The sequence below is a fragment of the Homo sapiens genome, chromosome 1, assembly GCF_000001405.40.
Source record: "Homo sapiens chromosome 1, GRCh38.p14 Primary Assembly".
Classification (NCBI taxonomy): domain Eukaryota; kingdom Metazoa; phylum Chordata; class Mammalia; order Primates; family Hominidae; genus Homo; species Homo sapiens.
This window is the reverse complement of record NC_000001.11, coordinates 98,036,840-98,055,610: the sequence shown is the minus strand read 5'-3', so window position 1 is coordinate 98,055,610 and position 18,771 is coordinate 98,036,840. Positions and strand designations below refer to the sequence as shown.

The 18,771-nt window shown below is 39.5% G+C and overlaps 1 protein-coding gene, 2 long non-coding RNA genes and 2 other non-coding genes across 5 annotated transcripts in view, besides 1 other annotated feature; 4 read left to right on the top strand and 1 right to left on the bottom strand.

Moving 5' to 3' along the window:
* LOC124900404 (uncharacterized) overlaps positions 1–1,232 on the bottom strand; it is a 228,127-nt gene extending 226,895 nt beyond the window's left edge. The window contains exon 1 of the long non-coding RNA XR_007066241.1: positions 1,108–1,232. This is a non-coding gene — a long non-coding RNA (uncharacterized LOC124900404). The remainder of the gene's footprint in view (positions 1–1,107) is intronic.
* Positions 1,131–1,390: a silencer, noted in NCBI's record as "silent region_1110". NCBI's record gives its function as "represses an Ori minimal core promoter by ATAC-STARR-seq in GM12878 lymphoblastoid cells {active_cell/tissue: GM12878}" and the evidence as "EXISTENCE:reporter gene assay evidence [ECO:0000049][PMID:35858748]".
* Positions 5,918–18,771, top strand: part of MIR137HG (MIR137 host gene) — a 61,694-nt gene continuing 48,840 nt past the window's right edge. Inside the window, exons 1-3 of the long non-coding RNA NR_046105.1 lie at positions 5,918–6,233; positions 8,984–9,092; positions 9,215–9,603. This is a non-coding gene — a long non-coding RNA (MIR137 host gene). The remainder of the gene's footprint in view (positions 6,234–8,983; positions 9,093–9,214; positions 9,604–18,771) is intronic.
* MIR137 (microRNA 137) lies at positions 9,440–9,541 on the top strand. The gene has a single exon (NR_029679.1). It is a non-coding gene; the product is annotated as a microRNA 137 (primary transcript).
* Positions 10,108–14,697, top strand: LOC124904228 (uncharacterized). Its single transcript, XM_047437906.1, has one exon. It carries the CDS (start codon positions 10,221–10,223, stop codon positions 10,740–10,742), a length of 522 nt encoding a protein of 173 aa, XP_047293862.1. The 5' UTR covers positions 10,108–10,220; the 3' UTR covers positions 10,743–14,697.
* Positions 10,260–10,369, top strand: MIR2682 (microRNA 2682). The gene has a single exon (NR_039604.1). It is a non-coding gene; the product is annotated as a microRNA 2682 (primary transcript).

The window sequence follows — 18,771 nt, the reverse complement described above, 5'->3', positions numbered from 1 at the left end:
ACACAGAGGAAAGATACCAGATCCCTCTTCATTTCAGCCCCATCCCCTTACTTATTAGCAGTTCAAAGATTCTGCCATCCACCTGAAAATACCAAATAAGAAAACAGACGCCATTTTAAAAGATTGTCTCGTGGATCCTGCCTAGATAGAACAAACTAATTCCGGGGACAGTAAAAAAAAAGTCCTTTGGCTTCTTTCCCCAGAAGAGTGTGTGAAGAAAGTAGAAGCAAATATTAATAGTACTGATCACTTACTAGACCTATCTATACTTATTTTTTGCCTAAGCTTTTGAATTTTTTTCTTAAAAAACTATCATTCTCCAAAGACAGTAAACATCCAGAGGCAACAGACTTTACTAAAAGTCACAATAATCATAGCATACTATGCCCATCTCTAACTCAAGGCTGCCTGAATAGAAAGAAACATTGTGATTTCTAACAACCTTTTCCTGAGAACAGAGAAGCACACAGCCTATTTCACTGTACCACTCAAAGCATATAGCCTATTTCAAGGTTAAACTAGTTTCAAAACGCCATACAAAACTAAGTCATGAATTGTCTAGATAAACAAAACAATCACTTCCCCAGTTCCATAGTGAGGGGTGGGAACACAGGAAACCTCGCAGAAATGGATAACTCTCTCTCTCTCCTCCTCAGTATAAGAATGAAAACTTTTCGGCCCATGCTAGGACTTGGGACTGAAAGTAGGATTCACACTCAGATACGGGAGGAAGGGTTAAATTAAGAGGAATCTGTCTTCCTTTACCCTCCCTCTCCCCAATTCACAGAATAATTATTGGTGTCTACAACCTGAAATATTAGTAAACATTTCCTCCAATAGCTAAGGAAATGCTTCCAGAAACATGCACATCGGTAGTGCTCTTCCAGACTGGCAAGTGTGGGTTTGAAGTGTGTGCGTGTGTGTGTGTATATATATGTGTGTGTGTGAGAGAGAGAGAGAGAGAGATTTTGATGCTTGGAAAACATATTCTAAAAAGCGGCCATAATTTCTTTTTCAGGGGGGCCCCTTTTGGCTCCTTCAGACCTCAGCCCAGAGAACCAGAGAAGGGTCAGAGACGCACGAGGGAGAGGCTGAACTCACACTTACCTTTGACCAGTAGAAGAGGTGAGAGTGGGGTTTGGCGCTTTGTTTGTTTTTGTTTTGTTTTCTGTTGCTTTTAGCACGCCCCCAGCGCCAGGGCACTGGAGGGTGGAGGCGGGTCCGGGCTGGGCAGAGCCCGCGGGGCGGAGGGGACCGAGCGGGCCGCCGCGCCTGCCGCGTCCGGCCAGCAGGGGGCTCCGGCGCTCTTCTCCGGGCGTATTGGGCTCAGCCCGCGCGGCCCGGACCTCGGGCAGGGCAGGGGATCTGGAGAAGGGAGGACCAGGGGAGGAGGGCGAGAGCTTGAGAGAGACAAACGGGGGTGAGCCGCACAGCGGGGTTCCCCAAGAGCCAGCGGAGCCTTCTCGGAGCTGCTTAAGACCTGACAAATCCTGGAGGAGCCAGGCGTTTTCGTGAACGGGGTCTGAGCCTCCGCCTTACCAAGGCTCCCGAGTCCCGCGGGGCCGTCTTGCTCCGGCCTCCAGCCCGGGGCGCCCTTGGCCCGACGGGCAGCCGTCCTTGCGAGGGCGTTAGGGAGTGAGCCGTGGTCTCTGGCCCAAACTCGGGAGGACAGCAGAGAGCTCGGCCAGGGCTGCGGGGAGAGCGATGACTCCCACGCCCCCGCGTCCGCACCAACCGCGCCTCGCGCTTCTGGAGCCGCAAAGCTCAGGCCCACTTAGAGAGGCAACGATTTGTCTATGGATGTCCTGTGTAACCACACCTTTGCTTTGGCTTCCTTTCCTCGATCTGAAATCCAAGGTGGTGGTTGATTTTTTCGCTCTCCTACTCTCCCAGAGGAGGCCCCGGTCCGAGCCAGCGCTGGCGGGCTGCGGCTGCTGAAACTAGAGTTCCTGTGGCCAGAATGGTGCCCCTTGCCCGCTCCAGGGCTTCAGAGAAGAGCGAGCCCGGCCCGGGGCTAGGGTGTCCGGCCTGCCCCGCGAAGGCGCGCTGGGCCTGGAGACTTTGCGCTCTTCACTTCGCCAGACGAGAGTTTAGCCCGGGGCCCGTCCGCGACACCTGGCCTCCGGCGGTTTTCGGGACCCTCTCTCAAAACTGCGCGAGCGCCGAGATCACTCTGGTATTAGCTCCCTTTAGATGAGGAAGGCATTGTATCTTTCTAAGGGGGTCTCTCAGACCTAAGTTATTTTGGTCTGCAGTGGTAGTAATGGCCTTGAATTTGTTTAAACTTACTGCCCACGACACCCTCTCCCCAAATCCCCCTACACCCACACAGTACGCTCCATCACGGCCACCACCACTCCCACTCCATTTGCATTTGAAAACCTCTGGAAACATAAGCGCTTTCAGGATGAACTCTCTCTCTCTCTCTCACTCTCTCTCTCTCTCACTGTCTCTCTCTCTCTCTCTCTCTCTCACACACACACACACACACACACACACACACACACAGCCCGCCAAGTGGAAACTGAGTTGAGTCATAGGATGCATATGAATAGGATTGGATGGTCCTTTGCTTCTGCGGATAAGAATGTTTAATAACCCAGGATTCCGGGCAATAACAGCATTACAGGGTTTCTAGAACTCTGTTCTGATCCTTTAGAAATTGTTAGAACAATAGTAATGATAGTAGGAGGAGAAGTAGGACTATGTTTTTCAAGGCACTTGCAAGCAATCTGCTACATCGTTTATGGGAGAACTTAAAAATATTCCCCTTGATTAAGACTCACAGGTCAAATATCATCTCTCTTTTCTGCATGCTAATTAAAAGCAACTCTGTTCTTAGGTATTTGACAGTCATTTGAATCAAGATACTTGAAAATTTCTGACTCAATAGCAATGTGCTTCAGTACACACAATCAAGTATAATCATATATATGTGAGATATGACTTTGAAGAGGAGATGACTTTTTTAAAAAAAAGACGCATACTCAAAGACAACTAGAAATGGCTGCTGCAGGCAACCAGTCACTGCTCTGACTACAACATATTTGTGCAATTAATAGTCTCACAACCTAGTCCAAATCCCCTCTTTACTTGGAGCAGGAGTGTTAATGAACTGTAGATGCAAAGCTCTTAATGTATAGATGTAGTGTCCTCTTGAAATTTAACAAGCTTTGAAAATGTAATAAAACAGAGATAAGTATTCAGGTTATTTTTAGTTTGTGTTGGCTTGTTGTGTTTTTAATATTGTTTAAAATATGACACAGTTATCCTCAGTTCCTATCCCATATGTCCATTCTGGAGGATCCAGAAAACATATCAGTAGTTAGGGTAACAAAAAATCCTCCAAAAAAGACCCAAGTTTTGCCAGTAAACTTTAAGTCTTTATTGAGCATTTCATAATAGCTTTAAAAAAACAAAGTGCGGTTCATGTTTCTAGCTACTTTCATACAATGTTGAAATAATACTATAATTTGACTAGGTAAGATTCTTATTGATTGCTAATTTGGTGTTAGAATTGATTATATTTCACATAATGATATCCCACTGCTCAATGAGATGAATATTTATGTAATAGGGAAATACCATTGCTGGTTTCTTTACAACTCAGTGTGAATAGCCACATCGTTGACTTCCAAAGAATAAAAGAATCTTTCCATAAACCTTCTGAAGTCGTTTCTATAAACTTGCTCCACTTTCTAATATTGTGAAAGAGTTGATGTAATTTAATTTCTATTCTGTCAATTATAAATTTATTTCATCTTGGCAAGGTGCCCTATTTGGAAAAGTTGATTGTGGGAAAGGATGATAGTATAGCAGGAATATGGAGGTTGAAATAATGTTTAATTTTATAATCAAGATAAATGGTGTAATTGACCTCATCATATCAGGAGCAGGGAGAATCTGAAATGGTTTGATTTGCACACACTTCATTGAGTCTACCAAAAGCATACTGATATCAAATTGCCCAGGGCTATATATTTATTATGAGAATTCATAATTCCAATCCTGTTACATATGTTTTTTTTTTAATTTTGCTGGATCTTATGGAATAAGGATAAGGGAAGATGAAGAAAACTATACTAAATGTGTCAAAATGCTCCTTGTATCACAACAAAGTGGATGGTTTACTCAATGCAGCTAAATTCTCAGAAGAAAAACTGAAGTCACATCTTTAAAGAGCATTTTTCTTAATGTACTACCTATCTGTAAATAAATAGTTTAAACCATAATGAAAGCAAACTTAAAAAGTTGACTCTAGTTAAATATTGGGAGAGACTGAGTAACTTGTGTACCATCAATTTCCTGAGGACTTGGCCAAATTCTGCCTGCACTTTCAGCCTAACCTGCAGGGGGCAATAGCTTGACACGAATGACAACAAAGGCTGCTGAACTATTAGACTTGAATATCTGACTATGACCCTGGAATGTTGTGTAGGTTGGAAAGAGTGCTTAATTAATGTATATTGAAACAAAAGATCAGGTAAATTGTTTGATTTGTCTTCAAGCTATATTTTTAGACTAATTTAATTCATAACTGTTAGGTTTTTTTTTCCTTAAAGAGATTATCAAAGTTTTAGGAGACACATTCATCTTTAGAATTTTCCTGAACACTAATTGTTTACTACAGAATTTATGTAATGTATGTTACCAAAGAAAAGACAGCAGAATCAAAGTGACCATAGTTTTCAGTGTTCAAATGGATGACAAAAATCAGAGGAAATATGGAATTTTGAGATATATTTAATAAAAGATAGTCACATATCTAGATAATAAACCCTATTTCAATATTTTTTAAACCTATAACTATAAATGGGTGGGGGGCAGTCATCCCATTGTTTGCAATATGTCTTCTTTCCATGTATCAAACATTATTTTTTAAAACTGGTTTAAACTTAAAATCACGATCAACAATTAGTGAGTTATCTCTTTTATTGCTATATATTTTTCTATTACAAGTGGAATAGAATTTATTGGCTATCGATAATCCACACTCTCTTTCCCTCCTTCTCGGTATTTCCACTCCCTCCCCCATCCCTATATTTCCCCATCAACTGATCTGGGAAGACTGGAAACAGACCAAAAGGGGTTTTGGCTAGAGAGAGTAATTACAGAATTAGAAAGGAAAACTCTTCTCATCTCCTCACTGCAATCATACTTAATGTTCATTATGTCAATTTTAAATGATACAAAATGCCTTCCCCAAAAGGCATCCTGGTTTTAAGAAGTCAAAAGGGTACCTGGCATTAAACAACCTTGAATCAATCCTGGTGGGATTAACTGGACTGAGTTTCTGTATACTGCACATGCTATGGATCTACTTTGATCACAGTAAGGAAAAAAATGAGAATAGATTTTTTTTTTAAAGAATTGCTGCACAGGAGTGTTCCGTTTCTTTTATATGGCAGAGTTTGATCTTGATAAAAACCTTTTAAAACATCCTTTTCCCCCCACTATGGTAAAGAGATCATATCTGTTTTTGCTTTTCTTTAAGAAAAGAAAATGGGGATTGCTTACACGGGGAAAGAAAATTTTATTCTCCAACACCCCCTCCCATTCTACTAAACCATTTTAGTCGACATATGTTTGTTATCAGAGAGAGGTGCTGTGAACACACAGCCATTTTCTTAGCAGCTTTTTGACTGTATGTTACCATAGTCCCACAAGGCATTGGTCCTTTCCCATTGGGAAGTCATGAATAAGAGACTATGAAGCTTGCACGTCAGATCTTCCTCAATTAATCCACCATTAGCATGTTTGGGATCCACTACTGGATGGTTAACAGCAGCTTTTGTAACTGTACGCCGACCATATCGAATTATGCTCTGCTAAAAATGAACTCTTTGCAGACCAACCCTCTCGGCTGTCAGTGTTTTCCGTTTTCCTATTTTAACGTTTGTGTATAGTGGCAGGCGACAGATGGTGTAGATCAGATCGATTTGATTGCATTAGATGATTTTTTCCCTTCCCCACTCCTTTCTGGAAGCTCGCATCAGCTGAAGGCTATCGCCTGGGACTCCTCGGAAGCATGAGCAAGCCGCCACCACGCGAAGGCACTGGGGCACAGCCAGCGCGAGGCGCCGAGGTCCCTTCCCAAGGCTTGTTAACACTGTAACCCGGCACTCGGAGAGAAGAAGCAGCTCACACTGCCCAGAGCCTACCTCACTGCACATCAGATGACTCCCTGGCTTCTACACACAGTTGGAGTTCCGCTTGAAACCTGGATTTAGAGGGTAAGCACTTCAATCGAGATGGATTTGTGACAGTTACTTTGCCATACAGCAAGACAAATCTCAGCAAACGTAAAGGATGTAGGATGTATGGCAGAGGCAGACTATGTTTACATCGAAAAATGTGTTTCTTTTTGTCTGAGAACGAGAGTATTATTCAGTAAAGATGTGTATACTCTTTTTCCATTGACTGTAAGAGTCGACTACCACCCTCCTCCCGATTTTTTCTCTCTCCTTGGTGTTTCCCCCTTTCTACTTGAGAGGGAAGGAGAGAGGGAGAGGGAGGGAGTCAAGGGGGAAGAGAAAGAGGGAGAAGGGGGGGAGAGAGAGAGAGAGAGAGAGAGAGGCATTTCAGCTTTAGCTTAATTGGCTTATTTCCTCAAACCCATTGCTTTGTCGCGTTTCTTTATGTATTTTTGGTTGCAAATTGCGAAGCGATTAACTGGGATGGGTGTTGGAGTATGGGGGATAGCATAGGAAAGTACTGGGAACCGTCAATCAGTCGCGGTGGCCTTGAGAGATCAAAAGGTGCTGAAAGCCCCCTGCCCGCAAAACACACCTCTAGTTATTGGGGCGCGAGAGAAATGTAGATTCTAATAAACATGGCTTGCAGGAGTCGATGAACAAAGGTACTTAATGCGGACCTAAGCCTCCGCTGATATTGTTCCGCTAGCAGTATCTAAATATTCAAAAGCGAAGTGTAAGTTGATCAACAAACGCCCTGATGGTATTGGGCTTTTTCCCTTTTTTGTTTTTGTGTGGAGGGTGGAGAAGGGGGGGAGGGTGGATGGGTGGGGGAAATCCGACAGCTTAAGGAGGCTTGAATTGAATATGCACCCAGCGGCAGTGGTCTCGTAGGAAATGGTGTTCTCGTAAGTCAGGCTGCCCCGCTCAAGCACGAGAGAGCTTTGGTTAGAGCTCAGAGCGTCAGTTCTGCTGCGAGTGCTGCCGGCAGTCGGCCCGGGTTGAGCTGTCCATTCGTCCAGGTGCTGAAGCTGGTGGAACATTGGGTAGGTAGGGAAAAGGCTGGCACTGCTACTTGGGTAGAAAGAAAGCATATCAACTGCGTTGTTCTAGTTTCTTAAAGCGTGCGAGTCTGTGGGTCAGTGTGTGTATATATTTTATTTTAATTGTGAGGAAGCAAAACTGAAGGAGACTACTTGGAAAGCATTGAAAAGCTGTGTGGGTATTTATGCTGTGATTCTGATGCCCTGTGTATTGGGGTGTGTGTGTGTGTGTGTGTGTGTGTGTGTGTGTGTGCCTCCCTTGACCATCCTTTTGAGTTTATAACGTTCCATTTACTAAATCCAAGCCTATCTGTATAGTGTGTTTCTTGTTTTCCTTTTAATATTAGTTGAGATTTAAATAGAAGAGTGCAGAAGCAAATGTACACTTTGCTCATAGACTATTGCATTACTTTCCCTAAGGGCTTTTGTTTCTAGGAGTTCAAGCTGAAGAGAACCTGTCAGCTTTCTGAATTTTTTTTTTGTCTAGCACCAGAGAAAAGCTCCACTTTATACCTATGTTAGGTAACAACAGAAAATAGTGCTTATTTATTTGTTTTATTGGTATCTGTCCTTTTGTAAGTGGTGTACTTAAGAGTTATCTGAAAATAATGTAAAACAGTCTGGTAGTTGGGCTATATTGGTTTTCTTTCTAGTTATTTTAGGTTCAGACATTATATATTAAACATCTATTCATAAAACCTAGAATTCATGTTGATTTTTCCATCTGTAAGTAACATGTCAAGAAAATGATGAGTTGGTGTGCCCGGAGAAGTATTATAATTTTTAAAAAAATAAGAGCAAACACAACCTAAGCACCTTAAATTGCAACCAGGTCAGTTAGAGATGAGTTGTGGTAGTGGGAGAGATTCTGTTATATAATTACTCCTTGATGAAGAGCTATTTGCACTTACATAATTTGGGAAATCATAATGTCTATTGCCATGTTTCCATATTCCCCCCCATTCCCCTTACATGGATGTACTTTCATGTATTTGAGAGTAAAGGGGAAAGCAAATTGAGAACTTTCTAAGGAAGCTACACCATGTCTTGGGTAGTGACGTTGCACTTGTCCATTTTATTTAGTGAACAATAAACCCCCATTATCAGAATATCCACTGCAGGATCTTAAGACAAAGCTTTTCCAGTAAGAGCCATATTGATCATCAAAGAATCACAGAGATTCTCTCTCTGAATGCCAAAATTACAGTCACTTTGCAAATGAGTTTTTATTGGCTTTTTCTTCTTAAAATAATATTTATGAACACAGAGCTTCAAAGGTTTTTCTGTAGAGGTGTCCACAACAGCTGTACAGCAATGCATTTATAGTATATATTTTAAAAGTGTGCTATGAAATTAAACATTGTAGTGATATAAAATGATGCTTAAATCATAGAAAGTCTACCAGCTTGTCAACTCAGTGAGTTTTGACACTATGGAAAATGGGTTTAATTACTGTGTGCCTTCAAGCTTTTTTTTTTCTTTAAAAATCATTATGTTGTATAGCTATAAGGCCTTCAAAGGAAAGACGCCTATTTTTGTACATCTATAAGTATTTGATTTCAAGTAGTAAATTGAATGAGTGTTTATTTTCCATGATCTTGGGCTTGAGAAAAGTGCATTTCCAAAACACACTACTGAAAATTTCACCCATGCATGACCTATCTTTATTTAAGCCTCACTTCTTCCCAAAGCCGTCTAGGCAAATATATTTGTATTTGTGTGGGTAACTATTCACGTCTCTTACAGGGTTCTCTGGCCGCCATGGCACTCAATCATACCACCTAGAGTGGACTGGCCGAGACCAGACTGGGTACCAAGCAGAGAAGTGCAGAGGAAAGCACTGGGAGAGCACCAGGTAAACTGAAGGTTACTTGTCACTCCCACTTGTGCCCAAAAAGCCTTGCCACATCTTCCCTCCTCACTGGAAAGACAGCACTCTTCTGTGTTAAGTATTTGATTTTGTGATTTGTCTTTCAGAATTGGAAATAGAGCGGCCATTTGGATTTGGGCAGGAAGCAGCCGAGCACAGCTTTGGATCCTTCTTTAGGGAAATCGAGTTATGGATTTATGGTCCCGGTCAAGCTCAGCCCATCCCCAGGCAGGGGCGGGCTCAGCGAGCAGCAAGAGTTCTGGTGGCGGCGGCGGCGGCAGTAGCAGCGGCAGCGGTAGCAGCGGCAGCGGTAGCAGCGGCAGCGGCAGCTTGGTCCTCTGACTCTCTTCGGTGACGGGTATTCTTGGGTGGATAATACGGATTACGTTGTTATTGCTTAAGAATACGCGTAGTCGAGGAGAGTACCAGCGGCAGGGGGGCAGCGGCCGCCCTCCCCAGCCCACCAGCTGGCCACTAAACGCCCGTGGTTGCCAAGGTAGCACTTTCTTGTTCTTTTCATTTCCTCGGGTGTTTTCGCACTGGTTCCACCGGAAAGGCTGTGCGCTGCGCCTCTGGTGACCAGGACTGGAAAATGGGTTCGCGCAGGGGGCGGGGGGCGAGGTGAAGGGGATGGGCGGGGAGCGGAAGGGGGTCCGTTTCCCCGAGCCTGCGGGGCGGTTCGGCGTTCCCAGTCCGCTCCTCTCCTCTCCACGGTGGGGTGCGGCTGGAGGGAGAGACGCGGACGGGGCGATTTTCTAAAGTTGGGAACGACTGAAAGGCCTTGAGCAGTTTGGGAGCGTCGCGAGTGAGGCGCCGAAGCTGGGCAGAGGGTCGCTGGGGGCTGCCTCCGCAGAAAGGGCGTGTCCGTGGGCGAAGGTGCCCCCGCAAGCCTGCGGAAGCGCGTGACTTCGCGAATCCCGAGCCCGGGGCGGTGCCGGAGCCCCACCCCCGGCCGGCCGCGCTGCTCCGCAACCAGACTTGGCGGCCGAGATGGGGAGGGGGCGGGGGCCCGGGGGCTGGGTCCCCGCGGAACTTCCAGATCGGAAGTGTGGCGGGTCTCTCAGGAACGCATATTTTCTTTTCGGATTCTCCGAGAAGGGGTGGAGAAACAGGATGGGAACCGGATTGGTTGCAGTGTGGCACAGACCTGGAACCTTCCTGAAAGAGGTTGGGGCAGGCAGTGACTGTTCAGACGTCCAATCTCTTTGGGACGCCTCTTCAGCGCTGTCTTCCCTGCCTCTGCCTTTAGGACGAGTCTCAAACACCAACAAACGCAAGGCACGTCCCCCCTCTCAGGTCAGCTGCGAAGGCGTGGGAGCAAGAGAGAGCCTCTCCCTCCTTCTACTTAGAGTTTTTGTTTGTTTGTTTGTTTGTTTGTTTCAAATATTAATGGACGATAAAACAACACGGATTTGTCACCTCCTAGCGAAGAGGAAGCCACCGCCACCACACCCCTCAAGCATGCCTGGGCACTCCTGGGGACAATCGGACGTGGCAGGAGTTGGCATGCCCAAGATGAAGCTGGGAAGGATGACCCAGAGTGGAAGGCGTGGGCTGGGGCTCCAGGTCTCAGCTCTCGCCAGCGTCGGACCACACAGCTTTGCCAGCTTTGCACCTTGCCTTTCCTTCTTGTGAGGCATCTGGGACCGTCCTATCAAGGCGCTTCAAAGGTGGAAGGACAGAGTGCTGGGGACAAGAACGTACCAGGCGCCCAGAAGATTCCACTAGCGCGGCCAAACACTAAGACCAGGTTTCCTCCCTGCGTGGTGGTCGTTGGTTGTGCACGGGCTACGCACGAAGACTGAATTCCTGAGAAATGGAAACTGCAGGAGAAAAATCAAATAAACTTAGAGGCCTGTGAAGCTCTCCCTCTTGTCGCTCTGGGACCGCTCTAAGCTGAGCTACATCTCAGATACCTTCTCCCCCTGGAGGATGGGCCTTTCTCAGGCACGAAGTGCGTGTGCCCCACTGGGCTCTTGCCCACAAGAGCAGTCTGAACCCTGGAGAGGCTGACACCGAGGTGTCTTGAAGGAAGCAGGCACACTCTCATGCTTCCCCACCTAGGGTTTCGCCTTTCTTCTAATATTTAGGATTCCCAGTGAAGGGTACTCCACACACACCCTCTGCCTACCCCTAATCCCACCCCATTGTGTCTGATCCCACAATTACTCCCAGGGTATCTATACTCACAGCTTTTGCGCTCAAAGAACATTGTCGTCTGCAGGGAACGGGTGGAGCCCTTCTCAGAAGCTCCCGGGGGCGAGTCCATTTTAAGAATGAGTTGAAGTAGGAAAGAAAACACAGATGCTGTCTTTGCATTCGACATTCTATCACCAGCAAGAGAATATGTAACTCCTGTTCTTTCCTTCATTATTCCATGAATTACCTTTTTTCTCTAGGGATCTACCAGTTGGTGATTTAGGGCTTTTAAATATTATGCTTGTTATGTATTTAACAAAATGCAATATGTCTACTGGTGGCATTGTTTCCTTGGGAAATTAGAAAAGTAGAAGCTACATACTCTAGTTCCTAGGTGGTCTCTGGAAAGTTGGCCTCATGCTGGTTGGCTAAATAATAAGTGTTTAGGATTTGAAAGGAAGAAAGAGAGCTGAAGTCCTGGTGACAGAGTTTGTGAGAAACAGAAGATGTAACACTCTGGCATTTGTTGAGGAGATGAGGAAGAACTTTTGAAAAATAAGCTATTCTATTCAGTTTTGTGCAAATTTATTGCAGTTGCTTCATAGAGGAAGAATAATGTTGAGAATGGAATAATTGCAAATGCTAGTGATGAAATCTAAAGGAAACCTCTACTCATAGTTAACTGAAAGTATTTTTGTTGTTGTTGTTTAAATACTTATCTCATTGCTTTCTTTCCTTTGCAGAATTATTTTCCTATAATAGTTTCCATTAGGTGTCAGTCTGAACTGGTTCTTACTTAAGTTAGGGGTGAAAATGTTCCATCATCACACCTTTTAAGATAAGAAAGTGGGAAAAATTAAAACTTTATTAAGTTGAAATTACTGGAGTTAATTTTTATTGTTAAAGACAGCTTTTTTATTCCCAGAAAAAGTAATTTTAAATTATGTCACCACTAGTCAATGACTGCTTTTGCCCTGTCACTGTCCATAGCCATGATTAAAGAAGTACAAAATGCTTGTTTGTGCATTTCATGCTAGATCCAAGTAGTGTTAAGTAGTCATAATTTTTGGATGGCTTTTCAATTGATGTCCTAAGACTAGAAGGGTAAGCAGCCTTTTCTAATATTTCTTTTGCTTTACAAAGGTGATAGAAATTTTTCCTGAAAAAAGGAACATGGATTCAGCTTAAGCTGTTCATTTGACAATACTGAGGGCACAGTAAAGGAGGAGGGAGACAAATTGTGAAAATTACTTATGTCCACTAGTTTTACTTTAATAAATCCTGCTTAAATACTCAGAATTTATGAATACAATTTATGATATATAAGTGGGATATTTTAGGTCGCCCATTTAAATTTATATAATGTCTATAAATGGTCAATTTTATACTATAATATTCATTAATAAGCATAAGAAACATCATCTTGATTGGTCATTTGCTACTGAGTCCCAAGTAAGTAGCTTGATAGAAACTGCATTTTTCAGAAAATTTGCTTATTTTATTCTTTGTATTTGTGAATTCTGTTCTGATGTTGTTGCTTGAATAAAATTGTGGGGAGTGGTGATGGTATTCGTGGTTAAAGATCCATAGAGCATTATGACAACCCCATGAACTTTCCCTGAGGCCATTGTGAGCCCTAGAATGATGTGGTTCTTGGTGTCAGAGCAATGCCAATCTAGAACCAGAACAGAGGTCCCAGTGAAAGTCCAAGCAAAGGCAAGCAACGATGAAGTAGCATTTTGATGGAAGGAATATTCCAAAAACCCTATTATCAATTTTTGTCTTATTATATTCCACATTAGTCATGAGAAATTTTCAAATTTAAAAATAGACAACAAAATTAGAGATGATGGGTATATTGGGAAACATTTTTGTGTTTTATGTAAGACAGAGGAGAAGTGCTAAGGACATAGAAGGAAAGACAGCATAAGGCCATCACAGTTGTTCACCATCTTGTCAATATGTACAGGTGCAGCTACCATTGTATCACGGAAATGACAGAATGATGTTCTTACTGTGTTGGAAAGTAGTGTATTCTGCATGGGAGACTTACTGTTTAAAAGTAAATTTCTTTTGGATATATTTTCCGTAAGAAGAAAAAATATAATAATGACATCAGAATATTTAAAGACTTTTAAATCATTTAGCTATTGAATTTAGTTATTGATAGCTGTACAGCTATATACACAAATGGTAAGTAGAGTTTAAGCAAATAGCTTTGTAGTACAATTTGTTTTTTAAATGTTTTCAGATTTTTATCTTAGTGCTTATACTTTAAATCTTGACTTACAAGTCTTGCATTTAAGTCTAGAAAACATTTTGCATGATTGTATAAAATAAACATTTTAGTTGAGGAAACACTGCAGTTCATCCAAAAAACATAAGCTAAAAAGATATAATATTTTAAATTTCTTGAAATGTGTTTGTTACCCAGTAATTAGTTGAGTTTGTTGAGTGCAGCCTAACAATAAAATCAGTGTATCTGTATGTTTGTATTGTTGACCAGCTTAAAAATTTATTACCAACTGTATCTTGTGAGTTCTGGGTTCTGTTACATCCTGGCTAATAATAATGTGAGCTAAGCAAGGCAGTCTGATCTCCAACACAATTAAAATATTATAATACATATGCAAGGGTAAAGACAACACTTCATTTGCTTTATTTGTGGAAAAGCCCTTTGAGACTCATAGTATTTGAAAATATATATATATATAGTAGATCAAACTAGAACCAAATGTTAAAAACCTACGAGTTCTAAAACATGCAGTTCAAAGATTTTAAATAAGGGTTATTGCCTTTATTAATTTAAAACCAATACTGAATCTCATTCAGTTAAATTACAAACTAAAAAAGACATATTGCTGGAATCTATTAATACTATGTTTCCAGTTCAAATGAAATTTGTACTATAATATGCTTTTTAAAAAGTTGACAAATTATATTACAATAGTGACATAATTGCATAATTTGAAAGTAGGGTCTATTTGTAAACTTGAATGAAATATGTGCTTTTTGGAAACACTTTTTCTGAAAAGATTATTTTTATAAAAATGATACATTTTAATTGGAAAGTTGATATTTCTTGCAATTTTGTTTTTAAAATTTGTATTCAATACATGAGTGAGTATTAATTGAAGCCTATTTTTGTCTCTCTAAGCTAGTGTAGTCAATTTCAATAACTGTTTCAAAGAAGTCTCAAGATAAACTAAAAATTACTCATTTAAAATAGTTTTTTATATATCTGCCAAATAGTCCATTAGTTTTTGGATTCCAAGAAGAATGAATGAATGAATGAATGAATGAAGGTCATGCCTACTATTCTGTCAGAAGCAGATATAAGAAAAAGACCTTTTCCTTTGTAATAGAAATATATCATGATAAGACTTCCAAATATCCTGGATTGTTTTACAGATAACTACACAGGAATTAAAGTTATAGAATGATTACTTTATGGATCCAGTTTCATGTTTTTTTTTCCATAACTGTTATTTATATAGGCTTTGGTGTTTACTGAGACAAAGCAAATTTGAGAATTGAGGCTCTTACACGGAGAAATCTCAAATTTCATTTTGTCCCTCAATTACATGATACTTAAGGAGTGAGGTATATCCTGTGGTAGAAAGAACTTTGGAATAAGACTAGAAAATCTGTTTTCGAGTACAGATTCTGTTGTGAACTATGACAATGGACCTATCACACAGCTTGCCTGGTCTTCACTTGTCTCATCCATGAGAAGGGCTAGATTTAGATTCGCTTAAGGCCTTTTTACCTCTTTAGGATTCCATTTCAAAGAAAGCCTTTTTTTTTTTTTGTATGAATTCTACACTTCATTTCATGTAAAGATGGTGGGCCAACTGATATCACAACTAAGACAGAAGCTTTTAAAAAGTATTCACCAACATTTTGTCTTAGTATTAAATAATAAAATGGTCCTTAAGATTTTTACTTAAATTCTTAAAGCATGAAACACATGGAAATATTTGTTGCTTTTTCATGCTTCATTTTTTATTTGAAGTTTTAGTAGGGAAAAAAGCCCCAAAAGAATGCTTTACAGATTCATTCTAATGTGTTAGCATGGGAGTACACGTATATGTACATCTGTATAATAAATTTGAAGCTACTCAAACCGCAGATCTATCTTCATAAGCATTTTAGCCTAATGAGGCCAAATCACAAACAACTCCATTCAAAGTTGATGTATATGATTGTAGTGGATAAAGAATGAACATGAACACTTGGCCTCTAAAAATGTTTACTCCTTGTGTAAATGTTTATGCTATTAAATTCAATTACAATATTTGGAACGGCATGAAAATTACTGGTTTTTTTTTCCATTCTGTTAAAAGGACCAATAATTGTCGAGGATATTTAATTCTTCTAAAATGGTTAATCTTTTAAAATACCTAGTCCAGTGTTTGGCACATAGTAGGTGCTCAAAATATTTATGAATTTTGTGAAAGCAGTGATATCCTTTTGGGGCATACGTGAATATAAATTTTACATTTTTTCATAATTATTTAAAGTCACTATTATATAAAATGATTGTTATACAGCATATATTTGTTTAATTTAATGTTAACATAAAATTTAATTCTTTAATTGTTTACTAATAGTGCAGTTATTCTTTGCCAAGAAGGAAAATACATTCTCTCTGATTATTTGATATAACTTTTAAATAACGGAAAAATCCATGGGAACATTGCTTTCAAGCTGATATTCTTTTTGAAACTCCAAGAATCTGTTCAATCTACTATTGAAATAGAAAATTTTAGTCCATGTGAATGTTACCTAATGTATTTATTTAATATTAAATGTATAAATATTTGTAAGAATTTATAAAGTTTTAAGAAGTAATCAATAGAAATGCACATTGTGCAATATAATAATTACTATGATAGGCATACTTTCAAAGCTAAAGATCTGTGTAAGTTTTTTAGTTTTAAAAAATTATTTACTAGGAAAACAGACTAAGTTACAATTTTATTTGAAAGGTGTGACTCTCTGGGAGGTTCAATTTATAGTAAATATAAATTGACTTTTTGATCACAAAATAATACACCCATCCTCTAAAAATTAAAATAATATGGTTTATCAGCTATTGCTTTATTCAGATAGTTTACATACTATCCATTCTCAGTTTAATTATGGGTATAAAACATTATGTCCATTGAAAACTTTGACTCTGATTTGTGTGCTAAATGGAAGCAAGCATAAAAAGAATAGAGATTTAAGGAGGAAAAATTAATTAAAAAATAAAAACTTTGAGAATAAGTTCAATAAAAATTCTACAAATCTTTCAAAAGTAATTGCCTTCAAATATATATCTGGGGGTAGGAGTGTGAGGTTTGGAAGCCATTTATTCACACTTTTATTAAAATATCTCATGTTCCTTTTTGTTGTTGGATGTAGTTGTCCATAAAACAGCTTTGAAATTGTTTTAATATTATATATTAGAACAGAGTCAAAATAAGGAGATTCTTTATCACAAACAAGCAGGTTTTTGTTAGTTGTGAATGCTATGTTTATTAAAAATAGTGAGTGACATTAAACTTTTGAGGCGGTTTCACATTTACATTTGGTGATTTGTGTAGATAACAATTGAATTTGACAAGAGAAAAGGGACAATGATAGCAAGTAACAATGTTAATGATGTGGACTGGAGTGAAGAATGTGCAGATTTTGGTGATGTATTAAAGTAACAATAATGAAATTCCTGGTGGCTGGGACCAGTACACCTTGAAAAAATATAAATCTTAGGAAACATTAGAAGAGGTCTTGTTCTTTATATGGTACCGTTTACCCTGTTGTGATGGGTAGTGTTCAATATTGATTGTATATAGTTTATCTGTGTAGAAGGATTCTTTCACAGTATGAGTGACAAGTGTATCCCAGAGTTCTTGCTTTCAAAGTCATGCTCTGATACAGAAATTTGAATCAATTAAAATAGCAATAAACTCTGAATAAAGTAAGCCTAGCTTATCTGTAGAAAATTGAGAAAGGCAAGAAATCTGGATGTTTCTCAAATAAAAGAAAGAACATCAGTCTGAAAAGACAGACTTCTGAAAATTGAGCCTAGGGGGATATGGCTTAAAAGAGACAGCCTTTTTAACAGTTTTTCTATTAGAAAACATATGTGTGATACTTGAATTTATGCTCTAGAAGTAAAGTAACCTAGGAGGATTTGTTAAGACAGTATTTCCTGATATAAAATACTGATACCAAGAGTTTAGTTTTTCCTATTCACTTAATTGATTTAGATTTTAGAGAGGAAATCTATTTGTTAGTTAACCATGATAAAGATAGAGAAGATTGACACATTTGTCCTTGTCTAACTTGGCCTTTATTTCCAAATACGTAACATTTCCACCTGATCATTGGTTTGCCTTTAATATGACTATTTTCCATTCCTATAACCACATGGAATACAAAATTTCAAAAGTCTTTGATAAGCTCATAGTAAACTCATATGATAGTTAGTTGTCATTATAAATTTCTATCTCAGATCTAGTTCTTTGGTATGTAATACAATTCCCATGTTTCCCATATGAAGTCCTCACAACACAGAGAATCCAAATAACTTCTCCATGGACACCCAGATAATATTTGGAACCCATTTTCTAAGTCCTTGTTGGGTGTTTTCTTTCTAATACATCACACTAAAACTTCACTAAATGTTGAAGTTTTTCTCACATTACTCTTCCTATTATCTGAGAATAATTCTTATATTTTTCATACTATTCAGTGATATTTTACCCAAGTAATCTAAACTTTTCAAAAATTCTTATATTGTATATATAGATGTGAATGTATCAACAGATTCCAAAGGTCTCTAGTGTGCTTGTACTAATGATTTTTTAAATCTTGGAAAATGGTATAGGCTATCTTAATGTAGAAACAGAAGATGAATCATAATTAAAGGAATAATTTGACCTTTTACCCTAGTTGAAAATATTTCAGTAAAACAAGGGAAATGTTAATCACAATTACATCAACTCAGTTTAATAAGCTTCCAAATGCAAATGTTGACTAAAAGATTGGATTCAAAAACATTTGTAATGCAGTGTATTCAATGAAAAATTTAAAGTGACATTGTTAAATAATAGTGACCCCATGATGTTCTCATACCAAATAACAGAAATAAAATCACATTTTAATATACAATTTAAAATTATATTTACTTTTACTTCACTTTTTAAATGTTCAAAGATATCTTGTTAAATAAACAGGGACAGATCAGCTCTTGGATTAGGGCAGAATCAAAGTAAAATTCTCAATTTTGCAATTGAACCCTGTTCACTTCTGTTGTGCTATTTATGAAAATTGCATTGTGGTCTGCCACTGCCACATCTGGGTTACTTGCAATGCTAACAATTTAGGGGTTTGAGAAGGTGATTTTGCACTGTGGGTTCAACCAACTTATCAATCGTGAAGCATGCTCCTCGTACATATGTTGCTTAACAACAAGGATACATTCTGAGAAACACATCCTTAGGCAATTTTGGCATTGTAGTAACAACCTAGAATG